This window comes from Homo sapiens, chromosome 6 (genome assembly GCF_000001405.40).
Source record: "Homo sapiens chromosome 6, GRCh38.p14 Primary Assembly".
NCBI classification, from domain to species: domain Eukaryota; kingdom Metazoa; phylum Chordata; class Mammalia; order Primates; family Hominidae; genus Homo; species Homo sapiens.
The window spans coordinates 125,202,553-125,216,094 of NC_000006.12; the positions used below are offsets into that span (position 1 = coordinate 125,202,553).

The window sequence follows — 13,542 nt, forward strand, 5'->3', positions numbered from 1 at the left end:
ATGGTGTGAGAAGAAGGAGGATGAGGAGGAGAAGGAGAAGAAGAAGAGATTACTTCTCATTTTAATTGAAATGAGTGACTTTTTATTAATGAGCTTGAATTCAGAATAATTTATTACCCTGGAGTTTTCTTATAATATAATAAGTGAGACTGTTTTCCTTTTTGCTTAGGGCAAAAAATGTAAGGAGGCTGAGTGTTACATTTGGAGGTTTATCTTTTTTTTTTTTTTTTGAGACGGAGCCTTGCTCTTGTCACCCAGGCTGGAGTGCAGTGGCCCAATCTCAGCTCACTGCAAACTCTGCCTCCCCGGTTCAAGCAATTCTCCTGCCTCAGCTTCCTGAGTAGCTGGGATTACAGGCACCCACCACCACACCTGGCTAATTTTTGTACTTTTAGTAGAGATGGGGTTTCACCATGTTGGCCAGGCTGGTTTCAAACTCCTGACCTCAGGTGATCCACCCACCTTGGCTTCTCAGTGGAGGTTTATCTTGTCAGGTTTGGCTTCCTTTTCCCAGTTCCATGAAATGTGAATTTGAATATGTGTTTGTGTGGTCAGGGAGAGTGTTGGGAAATGAGGGTGGGATACAGAGAGAAGGATGATTTAAAGGTTTAGATGGTCTGGTTATTTTTAGTTTTTCTATTCCCATTTCTGCAATAGTTTTTATTTTTCCTCATACACTATGGGAGTTTGTTCACAGAAGGAAGTTCCTGGAGCCTATCCATCAGGAACATTAACTATATTTTTGTTTGTTTTTTTGCATAACTATTTGTTTAGTTTTTCCTTCCCAAATTTGTGGCTGCTGTGTTCTTGTGACTTTTTGTCGGGGGTGTTTTTTTCTTGCTTGCAGTGTTACCCACAATGCATCTATTTTGTGTGTATTAAACAGTCCCTTTCAAGAGTACAAATAATGGTTTGAAATAGGAAGAGTATCCCAAATGCTTTAATCTTATATTTGAAATGTAGGAAATTGGAGGAGCTGAGGATATTTGTGACACATATTTTACATCTTCTCATTGAAAGTAGAGCTGTTGTTTGTCTGCATGGTTTTGAGTTTGGTCACTGAAATGCTAATGACACAGCAGAAACCCTTGGTGTGTGCATAAGGCCACATGACCTCAGGTCAGGAATAAAAGCTTAGGGCTGAGCAGCTCACTCTTTGGTTGAGAATCCAGTTGGCTCCCCTGGAGTGAAGTTCTACACAGACCCTGGAGGAACCACCCCATCTGTAAGGAACCTAAGTTTCTGTATTTCTGGCTTTCATTGTAGAAAACCTGATGTCTTCTATACTTGTTCCCTTGACCTACTTCTAAAACAGTTTATAAACAATTTCAATAATATTCACAGTCAAGTAGAGCTGTCTTTTACTGATATATTCTAAACAACATAAATTAAGGTGGAGCTTAGAACATATAACACAACTATGTCCTAATGACATGAGGAGACACCTTTCTCCTGCAAATAGTCCCAGATATACATCAGTTTTCAACTTGTCAGGATGGCGGATAAGATTCTGCTGTAGGTGTCTTTAATTACCAAGTGGAACTAACATTCTAGTGTTACCTGCAATGTAATGAAGAGCCTGATTCATCTTGATCTTTTTCACTGTACTTACTTATCGTTTTCCTGAGAAAGTGTGGCTTTAGCATTTGTTTTACCTGAGCATATAAAGGTATAAACTCAAGCAGAACATTGATAGAATGAAAGCTAGACCCTGGCTTAATGTAGTCCTTGAAGGAACAAGATGCATTAACAAAAATGGAGTGATGGTTCTAGTAGAGCTGGTATACTGATGCGTGCTGATTGTTACTTCTCTAGCACATGTTATTTGCTACCCTTGTTAATGGTCATTGCATTGGTTGCAAGTCTTGGTTATTTTATATTCAACACTTTAAGAAGAAATGTGCTTCCCTGGCTAGTTATCAGATTTTTTATTTTTATTTTTTTTTCGACGGAGTCTCACTCTGTCGCCCAGGCTGGAGTGCAGTGGGGCGATCTCGGCTCACTGCAAGCTCCGCCTCCTGGGTTCACGCCATTCTCCTGCCTCAGCCTCCCTAGTAGCTGGGACTACAGGCGCCCGCCGTCACGCCCGGGTAACTTTTTGTATTTTTAATAGAGACGGGGTTTCACCGTGTTAGCCAGGATGGTCTCGATCTCCTGACCTCGTGATCCGCCCACCTCGGCCTCCCAAAGTGCTGGAATTACAGGCGTGAGCCACTGCGCCAGGCCTATCAGATTTAATTTATAGGCATTTGAATAGTACAAATGTAAGGGCATGATAGCTAATTAAATTATTCCCCAAATATTTATTGAACACCTAGTGTGAACAAGGAAGCAGTGATACGAAGAATGGGGCATCTAACAATCTAGAGGAAGAAAAAGACAATGAATTGTGGAATTAAAATACAGCATAGTAAGTGCTTCAATATTAAGTCACCTAACTCTTTATTCTCCACAATGTTTAGCAAATAATCTTTTGCTGTTCATTTGGTTTTTCAAGTAGATTTTGTTCTGAGGAAGGAAAGAGAGCACAGAATTTACCTTAAGGTATTTGGTCTACTAGTCAAACCAGTCTCCCAGCAGATTTGTTAGTAGAAATTATCTCCCAAGAGGCTAATCACCATTGTGTAAACTGATGGAATACAATTTCTGGACCTAAGAAAACACAGGTGAAGCCTTGGAATATGATATGTCTCAAATATGCAGCAAACTTGGTGACCCCGACCTGAAAGGCCGGCTGATCTTATGTGGTAATGAAAGCTGGGTCTTAATGCAGGGACATTTTCTGTAGTTAGCCCAGTGAAATGATGTCCCAAGCCAGCCACTCCCACGCTTCTGAGCAGTGTCACCTTAGATGGTCCTTCCCATCACTCCAAATTTCCACAGCTTCCAGTGCCTTCAAGAGCATACTGTATAGGCACAAGCTAGGGATGGGACCAGGGAGGCCTTGGGTAAAAGCAGCCAGTTCAGGCTCTCTGAGATTCTTGTCTCTGGAGGTGAATAGGAGTCCTTGCTTAGGTCTTGGCCACAGAGATAATAATTTAGGCTTATGTATATTCCTGAAACCTTTAATTGGTTTGAGCTCCTGGAAGATTCTCCACCCTTTAGGACCATGTGGTACTTGGTTAACTGTTGGGTACCATATACTTTCTGCTATCTTTAGTATTACATTGAATTTTGGTGACTTAATAATACATGGTTAACCTGAGATTATTGTATCAATGGTATATTTTTCCTGGCAGTCAGAAGATGGCCACCTTGTACATATGGAAGAATGAGAAAGGGAAGGAAAGAGTTCCATGTATTTGTTGACCTCTATATGTAATAGCACGTCACTTCCATTTTTAGCCCAAGTTAGGTTTTGGACAGCCACAAATGTTTCTTTTGAGACTAGAGTCCATTTTAATCAGCATCTAACTATTTGGATTGTCACCTAAGCAGCATATTTAACAACAACAAAAAAGGAATAGATGTTTAATGTGGTCGGCTACAACTTCAGAAGCATCTTCTAAGCTCTTTCTATAGTCAACTGATTAGTACATTCTCAGGCTGAGCATTGCAGACATAATTTCTTTTTTTAGCCACATTATTAATGAAACCAAAGCTTTAGACAACAGTACTATTAATAGTGGTGACTCATGTGTTCTTTATATTTTCAGAAGGACAATAAATGTTTAGAGGACGATGTCTGAAATATTTTCTTCATAAAGTGTTTAACCATAACTATAGTAATAGGTAATATTATGTGTCTTAGTGCAATTTATAATGCAATTTGTAATGTCATTTATACTGTATATAGTATATAGTGGTAAGGTATCTAGTAATGTATATAATATTTTGTATATATATAATGAGATGAAAAAATATTTTAGATCAAATGAAGGCACAGAACATGATACTCATTATTCTAGTGCTGTTGGCAATTTGGTAGGATTCTTACAAGAGAAACAGAGGAAAAAGAGGTTTTCTAGAGTGACAGATGGCACTAAAAGCTAGGACTGAATAGAACATGACTGAGGAATGCTGTGTGTGACAGCCTACATGGCTTAGAGGCTTTGGTAGGGACATCACAGGCAGTCTAGGTGGAATCACCACTTACAGCCAGCTATGGAGGACTTTGAATGATTATATAAGAATTTTCAAATCTACGCCAGAAGCAATGGAGAATCCATCCATTGAATGTTTTTTGAACAGGGTTTTGGCATGTTGAAAGCAATGTGTTCAAAATATTCAGTGTTGTGTAGATTGGGTGGTGGAGAAAGAGAATACAAGCAGGAAGATGAAATTTGGCTAAGACTTCAGTAGTGTGAGTATGTAGTGATGAAACCCCTAAATCACTGTCATATAGCGATGAAAATTAAAGGGTTATTTATTTTTCCTCATGCAGTCTGGTAGTTTGCTCAGTGAAGGAAGTTCCTGGAGTCAATGCATCAAGAACATTAACTATTTTTTGCTATTGACAAACAAACATCACAGATATTATGAAAAGAGCATCAAGAAGACTTGATTGTTTTTGTCTTAGGGGATTAATTCAACAAACATTGGTTGATCAAGTCCTATCAGAAAGAGTTTGGGAGACATAAGCCACCCTGGACCTTTCCTAGTGGTCGATGTGGGGAAACTGCAGCTATTAAAGCTCAGGCTTAGGCATTCAGTAAGCCCAGATGGAGTCTTGAGTGGGATTGGGAGATTTCAGTTCCTGTCAAATTTCTGCATGAGGTGTTGTGGTAAAGTCAAAATAGCATGAATTCTGTAACCTAACAGATTTGCATTAAAATCTCAAGTTCACCACTCATCAGTTATGTGAGTTTGGGCAATTTATTTAACTTTCTGAACCATCATTTCCTTTTTGGAAAATGAGGAAATGCCACCTATGGAAGACGATTCTCCATAGATCTCTTCTGTTTCTACACATTTTGTAAGCAGAGACACTGATGGTCTTTTTTCTGGACTATCCATTCAAATTTCTTAATAGTGAAAAACGTTGGAAGACAGAGACAGTGTCTCTTTCTAGAGCAGAAGTCAGTTTTGCTTCTTCCTCCAGAGCAAAGGTTTGCTTACTGCCTATTAGAAAAGATTCAGATTCCCTGAGCTCAAGTTTCTTCAGCTGAGATGCAAACCCATTGCTTGTGCAGTATCCACCTAGGTCCCTCCATTTCACCCTCCATGGGACTTGGTAGCAAGGGGAACCCACTGGAACACAATGTTCATGCTATTTGCTGTGCCATGAGTCTCTGATCTAGGAGTCTGGAATCTGCCAGAATCCATGGCACTGTTGTGGACTAACTTGTTAGCTTGCAAGCTGAGCAAAATCTCAGACCCTTTATAGTGCTTGATGCCACCTGCCTAATGTGTTTCTAGGGAGGACGAGGCAAGATAAGATATGTAACACACCTGGAGCATAGCATGCAGTTAAAAAGAAACACACACATTTATTCCACTTCTTCCCTTAAGAGAAGTAACTGAGCAGCTGCTTCGAGAAAGTTCCTGCAGTGGTAGCAGCAGTTATCCCTTTTTCAATATAGTTTCAGAGTCAGGGCAGTTCCTTTGTCTGAGTTTCAGGATACATTTGGGCATGACTCATAGAGAAGAACTCAACAAAGTTTAAGAACAGTAGATTATTATACTGCTTGGTTGCAATTGAAGTTCTTGAGTCCCTCATTAACTTCTCTCAAGGCCAAGATATCATTAGAGAGCAACAAAGAGTAGCCTGATAGCAATTCTTTATCCATGTTACTAGGATTCAGCTGGGGATAAGGAGGAATAAACACAGTCATCTAAGATAGTTTCCTAGGACAGAGGAAAAAGGATTAGGGCCTGGGGAAGAGGAGTAAAACTGCTATCTGTCAGAGGACATCAATCTGAAAGAGAAGGTGCAAGCAACTCTTCCTATAAGAAGGATGGATAGTTCCCAGAAGGGATTGGTGGAGGAGGGAGCATCACCCTTGCAGTCTCGTGACATTTGTTATCAACTAATGCCTTTTTTTTTTGGCACACTTTAGTATGACAGTCAGGTGGCTGATCCTGGGTTACTGTTTTTAGAGACATTTTCTTATTGGTGGCTCCAGGCACAGTAAGTACGTTTGCCTTTAGCTGTGGTCTGCCCTTACACCCTCATGCTAGGACATGTGGAGGTTTCAAGGTGAACAAAACTGATTTTCTATCATTCAGTTGCTAACATTGTAGTAAGGGAGGTAAGACACGTAATCAAATAGACATAACCCGGGAGAAAAAGTAGCAAATGCCTGAGAGTGGGCCAGGTGCTGAGAGAGTGCTGTGTGGTGACAGCACTCCCAGGGAGAGTCTGGGTCCTGAGCCCTCACACCAGTGAAGAGAACCTTTCAATCCCTAGGGCAGGAATAAGCCAGCAGGCCCAAGGTGTAGCTCAAAGCTGTAGAAGCCTGTGCTGAGCTGTTGAGGCAAGCAATGCTGAGCACTGTCTTCAGAGTCTCAAAATCTTATCTCTACCATGTGCCTCTGACACAGCTTTATTTATTTCCCATACACAGCCTTGATCTCTGATACTGGCCGCCCAACTTGTTTTAGATCCTTGACTTCAGGCTTAATCCCTAGTGACTACTATCATCAACTTGGAGACATATAACCCTTGGCTGCCATCTATGGCCACATGACCCAAATGAAACCATAGGTTCCAGCGTGGCCTATGCTCTCAGGAGGCCCTAGCCATGAAGGGCCAGGCACATTGAACCCAGCCTCAAACATTGGAGTAGAGAACGCCCATCTGGCATTTCTCAGGGCAGAGGAAGACGAACATAGCTTAAAGACAAGCCCACAGTCATGAGGTCTATGCCAAGCTTCAGGAGACTCCGGGAAACCAGTCCTGTACCCTCACCTCCAGGAAATTCCTGATTGGTCTCTCCAGGGATATTCACTATAGTCCCAGAAGGGTCTCTGGCTCTTGTGGTTGAGCCAGCATCCCTGAACTTCTCTCTATGCATGTAGAGAATGTTTCCAGGTAAACTATTGAAAGGCCACATCTTAATTACCAGACCTATCTTCAGAATCCAAATAGAGACCACAGACCAACAACTGGTAGCTACAGTTCCATCTGTCTCAGAGAGTCCAAATGCCTTAACAATGCCGCTGTGTTGAGGTGTGCTGGGGGCACTGTGTGGCCTGTTCACTAGTGCCCCACACCTGGCTCTCTTCAGAGTGAAGGGGGCTGGGCTCAGGGAAAGCAAAGAAGGAAATTGTCATATTGTTCAGGTATGGTTTAGACTCCTAGACCATTTATTGCAGACAAGATCTTAAAAACTGTACAGAAGACAAAGTGACCTCTGCAGGCTTAGAGGAAGCCAGATTGGGGCAACAAATAATTTATTGAATTTTTAATTAATTTAATTTGGGGTCATGGCAAGTCATTGAAGACATAGAGATGAAACTTGATAGAGAGTTCATAATGATCTCTCTTTTGCCTGAATTCTATGATATTATTAGTCTCTGTTTAACTCAGAGCTCTTCTTTGAAAAAAAGAACATGACATTCAGACTAGTGCCAATGAAAAATGAGGCTTATTTTTAGGATAAAGAGAAAGCTTATGGACGTTCAGGAGAAGTCAAATAATCAGGCCTCAGGCCAGGCCGAATTATAAATTCCAATGAGCTCAGAGACCTGTATAGCACTTACTAGATTCTTAATAAGTGTTCGTTAAAAGAATGAATGAATGAATGAATGAACAAATGAACTCACAAATGACCTAAGGGAGCTCAGAGGAATACTGAGGACTACACTACTGTCCTACCAATAACTGACTTAATCTTACTGCACTTAACTCTCCTGTGTCTCTTGGCCCAAAATCCCAACAGAGGAATCCAGAGAATACCCCTGGGTCAGATGCCCATCTCAGTCCATTAAGCAATAGCCAGAGAAGGTAATGCCAAATGACCATAGGGCTCCCTTCTAAGGATCAGACAGATTAAGCCAGAATAAGAAACTGAACATGGCCTGTGGGTTTGTATTTCTCCAGGGCATTCATTTTGTATGTAATTACAGACTGCCATGTACTGGTGTATATGCATGTAAGGTATATATGCGGGTGGCACCACAGTGAAATATTTTTGCTTCTTGAGGACAGAATAATAGCTTCTGTTCTTTCTTCTATAGGGCTTCAATTTTATAAATAATTCTGATCAAGGAAGAATGTTCAAGTATGACCAGATTGGGAGCTAATGTGCTAACTGATTATTATATGCCAGACACTGTGTTAGGCATTTTACAAAACTGTAATCTCTCACAATTTATTCTTGTGGGTAGGCATTATTATCCCCATTTTACAGATGAAAAGACTGAGATTTCAACTATCACAGTTACAAAGTTGAAAAGGGGTGGAGCTGGAATTCTTCCTGAGATTGGTTTGTTCCCCAAAGTTATACCCTTTCCAATATCACTATACTATCTTGCAATCGACGGATCATTAAGCAAAATATCGGGATGAATTCTGCAGGACAGAGCCAGGACTCTTCCATGAGTCATTAGTCAGGTAAAGACACTTAAGGCACATAATTAGGCAAGTATGTAGTTTTTTATTTAATATTGGTTTGAGGAAACTAGCTCTAAATAAATTAGGGGACCAATTGGGAACCTTTGATATGGTCAGGTTTTAGAGGAGATGAGAAGGATAAAAGGAGAAAGTTGTTTGAAAAAAATCAAGTTACAAAATACTGCGATTTCATTTTTAGATATATGGATCTGTCTATCTATCTATCTATCTATCTATCTATCTATCTATCTATCTATCGTGTAACACATATGTTAAAGATGTAAAATACCCATTGTTTTATATATCTGTAAGAAAGAAAAAGTGCTGTCAATTAATTGCAAGACATAATTGATTATGAAAGCCATCCTGATTTCAAAGATGTTAAATGTGAGAAAAAAAAAGTCTGTGCTGCAATATGTAGGAAAAGATCCAGAGAAATGTGCCCGAATGTTGCAGTGGTGATTTCCGGGAGGTGACAGTATGACTTGCGTTTTATGATTGCTCGTCTGTGTATGCAGATTTCCCTGATCCACTCTCATCCCACTCTCAAAGGTTCAAGTAGGTGATCCCCAGCCCCAGGAGAACCACTTTTAAACTCTTTCAGCATGTCACGCATTAGAGTTCACACATTAGATTTCAAGCATTGGCTTTAGGATTTGGGGATATACATCTCCCGTGGTATTGATCTTAGCATTTGAAGCCTCTGCCAAAACTTCACGGCAACAGGAATAAAACACACTTAAGAGACTTTTCTACTACACACCTGATTCAATAATAGGCGAGATACGAGTTGTTAGCAAATGAAGGAAAAGCATGCTGTTCAATGATGAACGTTCTTAAGAAATAATATCTAGGTTAATGTAGTACTTTTAGTAAATGCACAGAAAGTACAATTCTAATAAATAAACTTGTTTTATATCTTTAATTTCCATCTAGAATTGACTCGTGTTAGATTTTTTGTGGTCTTAAAGATAATCATAAATCCAACAGTAATATGATTAGCTCAATAATTTTTCACTTGGGGAATACATGTAGATATTTTGAAGTTTTATGTTAAGGAATGCTTGAGGTTATTTTTACCAAACATCATGAAGAAAATATAATTAATTAATAAATATTACAGTCTTAAATCTATTATTTAAAACATGGAAAATTTTCATATAAGCTACTTTATTGCATTCCTTCTTTTATTAAGTCCTAGGATAATTTTGTATTCTTTTTGAAAGTGTATGCTTTCCTCCCTTTGCTTGGTTACACAGTTGGACTTATTTAATTTTCTAATACAGTGCAAGATTATTTTACTATTCAAAAGCGATTCTGCAACTTTTACATATTTGCCAACAATGCAGGATATGGCTACTGATCCAAAATCATAGTTTGTAATCATTTTAACTCCCGGTCCTCTGTATTGTTTCAATCATGGCCATGAAGCCACCACCTACTCCACAGGAGAGCTTGCCAGCATGCGCTGGAAGTGTGTGGATGCCAATGAGTGATTTCATTGCAAGGTTGAAGGAGGCACTTTAATCTAAAGCTGATCTCTTGATTCATACTTGCCAAGATTTTGCCTACATTCTTCAGATGGCTTAAGACAGGGAAGGGCATAAGCTTTGGTGCCAGACTAGCTTTAGTTAAAGCCCAGCAACTTGGGACTGAGCCCCAGGTCCCATGAATGCAGGTCTTCATCAGCAAGGCTGGGAGCAGACCACAGTGAACATTGTGACTTCTCAGTTGGAGCTGGTTTAATTTGTGGTGTTGTTCAGCTCTGCATGGGAGACTTAAATGGAGTCATCACTGGCTAACTGTAGGTATAGTGAAAACAGGCACATAGTAACATTTGACAAATATTTTAAAGCCTACCTGTTTTCCACAGACCTCACCTGGCCAACGGAGAAGTGCAATTACTAGATTATAATCAGATCTATGATTATTTGTTACCTTTATTAAAACAATTCTATATATTTTATTGCATGTAAAAGAGTAAAATGGCTATCTTTAAGTACCAAATACTCCAATAGCAGGGTAGCAACATTTATTTACACTACAGCTTGGTATGTATATGTGCTCAATTTTTTTTAACCTATACTTGGTGTGAGTATGAGCACCTAGGCTTTGAGTAGTGGGGGAAAAAATATTAGGCCTAGTCCATTCCAATGCAATTATTTTAAAAACCTCTTTAAATATTACTCATTTCCTTCAGCAAAGTTATCTTCTAGTTCAGATTTCTCCTTTTTCAGATCCCATTTTCCTGTGTCCTAGCTAGGGAGGCATCTGGTGTGCCTGGTGTATGGAAGCCTGAAGGACTATGCAGTGCCTTGTGTTCTGCTTGTATGGCTCTTCAGGTAGCTGGGAACATGATGTCCCCTGGTGCTGAAGTTTTTTGCAGATACTACTCATGATCTTGTCTCCCTCAGCTGAGTTTCAGTTCAGTAGCCCCTCCGAGCTGATTCAGCTTTGCCTTGGCTCTCATTGGAGGGAGATTCTTTCCACTTCCTCCATTTGTCCTCTGGCCAGGGCTGGTAACCCCAGCCCCTGATGCAGGAGCACCAACTTCTTGCCAAGTTGGTGAGTTTCTCCCTAAGAACCATGAGAAGTTCTGAATCCTATCCATGGTTAACTGACTGCAGAAGAGTGAGTTGGAGAATTAAACACGAGGGGCCTCTCTGTCCAACACCCCTGGACCTGCCAAGGTTACAGTGATGTGGCTGTGTACCAGGTTGGTGTGGGATAGCCTGAAGGATATTCCTTCCTAGAGTTCAAAAAGGAAATTGGGGCAGGCTTCCTATACCATTCAAGGACCAGGAAAGATGTAAATGGGTGGCATGCCCAAAAGGGATGCCTGATTCCAGAAAGCTTAGTGAATGGGCCATCAGAAAAATGACAAGAGTTAAGGGCATCAAACAGTGTTGAAGCACCTTGGAACAGCCGCAGTAGGAAGTCAATACAGTCCTTAGGCCAGAGGAGAGTTCTTGGAACCAGACGATGGCTGAGCTGTAGAAGGGAGCTACCTAATGGGAGCTTTGGCCTGTGGTAGTTGAAAGCTGAAACTGCAAGATGCAGCCTGGCAGGGAGGGAGACAGGCAGGACTAGACATTTGCTAACCACTCGCTTCTGCCCTCCAGTGTCCTGCAGGGGCTTCCCATTGGCCAAGGGCATGGGAATCATATTGATATAATCCTTAGGTCATCTCCTGGGCACAGAGAAGGGTAGAGGAGGGTAGAGAGTGGGTCTGAAGGAGTGAACAGAATCTCCAGCAGATTCTTCTCTAAGTGTAACCCATTTCATACTTTCTGGGCCAATGCCCAGAGAGAAAGGTGGGACATACACATCTCAGGGCTTAGCTCTCCTCATTCTCTCCTCCTTTCCTCTTCCCACAATCTACCAGGGATAGAGCCAGAGGCACATACCTCCTCGGTAAGTCCTAGATATCTAAGGGGTATCTAAGGGGAACTGCTTGGGCTGGATGTCCTGGGCTTGGCTTTTGCTATGCCAAGAGAGAAATAATGATATGTAGAACATTGCCTCAAAAAAAACTTTTTTCTGCATATCTCTTTTCTTGCTGGTAAATCCAATTTCAAATGCCAAAATCCTAAATATTAACCTTTTCTTTGTGTTTCTTTAACTTCTCTGTCCTGCCACTGGCAGATGGATGCCTTAGACCAGCTAGGAAAATATTACATTTTGGGAGAGGCAAAGAGAATACTTTTAAAAACTATTACTCCCCAATTTCATGCTGCTGTAGTTTGTTTGGAAATTTTAAAATTTTATAGCATTTTCAAGTATATTATCTGATTTAACATCATTTAACCTTAGCAACAATCCTACAAGGTATCCATTTTACAGATGAGATAATTGAGGTCAAACGTACTCTGCTAGTTAATAGCAAACCCACAACTAGAATTCCAGATCTCCTGACTCCCATTAGAGTGCTCCTTCTTCTGTGCCAGACAGGGGGCCACAGTTTGCACATTTGGAAAAGAGAACCAAGTTCATGAAATTGGTTCATAATATACTGGTACTTGCTAAAAGTGGTGACTTGAGCATTTGCCCAGTGATAATTGCTTTCACTGAAAAATTTTTTTTAACTTTTTCTAATATCTGCTTCCATGGTAACTAGGTAATTTTATACTTATTTTATTGCCCTTCTTGCATTATCATCTGTCATTTGGTATCTTTCACCATTTGCTTTTTTCATTCCTGGTTTTGACTTCATTTCACTAGTTAATTACCTTTTTAATCCAACTCCTCTTTTTAACTACTTCTTGATTCTTGAATTATCCTTTGACCTCATCATTTGATTGCTGCTTTCCTAACTCAGTGAGTTGAACATATTCTGCTAAAAATAGCAGATCTTGTTTTCATTTTGTCTCTGTTTATGTGACACCCTGTGTATAACTCAGAGAGCACCACTGGGACAAGATGTAACAGGGAAAAATATGTGCCTAGGTAGAGAAAGGATGAGGAGAGCTTAAACCTAGACTAACTAGCAACCTGGTCTCTGGGCAGATTTCTTGAATGGGTGGTTTCTGGCAGTGAGACTTTGAAAGATTCGTGATGTCTCTGAGGAGTGGGATGTTTGGCCCATCAGAGCTGAAGGCCAGTTCAGAGTTTCTCACTTTGTAAGGTTTATGCGCTCCCCCTCTGAAAAGTGGAAGCTACCGGCTGGGTACTGGGTCTGTCTTTCCCTAGATTCACTCGAAGTTTCCCAATTCATGTATTACCAGTTAAACAGGGTTTTGAACTTTCTTTTCTTACTAGAATATAGAAGGTACTAAAGATGTTTGATGTCTTGAAAAGTCTAAGGACCTGGAACTGTTGTTTATTCCCTGGAGCATGTCTTCTCACGTTATGAAGATAGGGAAGACTGAGAATTTGGGTTCCAGCTAAGTTTGAGCAGTATCTGTAAGTCCTTGGGCCAGGCTGAGTGGGGAGAAGTCCACAGTGTGTTGCAGTACCCCCAGGACTGTCTGCTGACCCCCACTGCAGGGGTGGGGTGGAGCTTACTTTCTGGGTCTATCTCTCATAGCTGTGCTTGGAATTGCTGC

At 40.6% G+C, this 13,542-nt stretch overlaps 1 protein-coding gene across 11 annotated transcripts in view; it reads left to right on the forward strand.

The window, feature by feature from the left end:
- TPD52L1 (TPD52 like 1) overlaps positions 1-13,542 on the forward strand; it is a 110,635-nt gene that overhangs the window by 48,780 nt on the left and 48,313 nt on the right. Inside the window, exon 1 of one of the 11 annotated variants that reach the window (NM_001318907.2) lies at positions 1,159-1,225. The exons of the other annotated variants lie outside the window; for them this stretch is intronic. The gene's annotated coding sequence lies outside the window, so the exon portion shown is untranslated. Of the gene's footprint in view, positions 1-1,158; positions 1,226-13,542 lie in introns of those variants that run through there. 11 annotated transcript variants of the gene reach the window in all.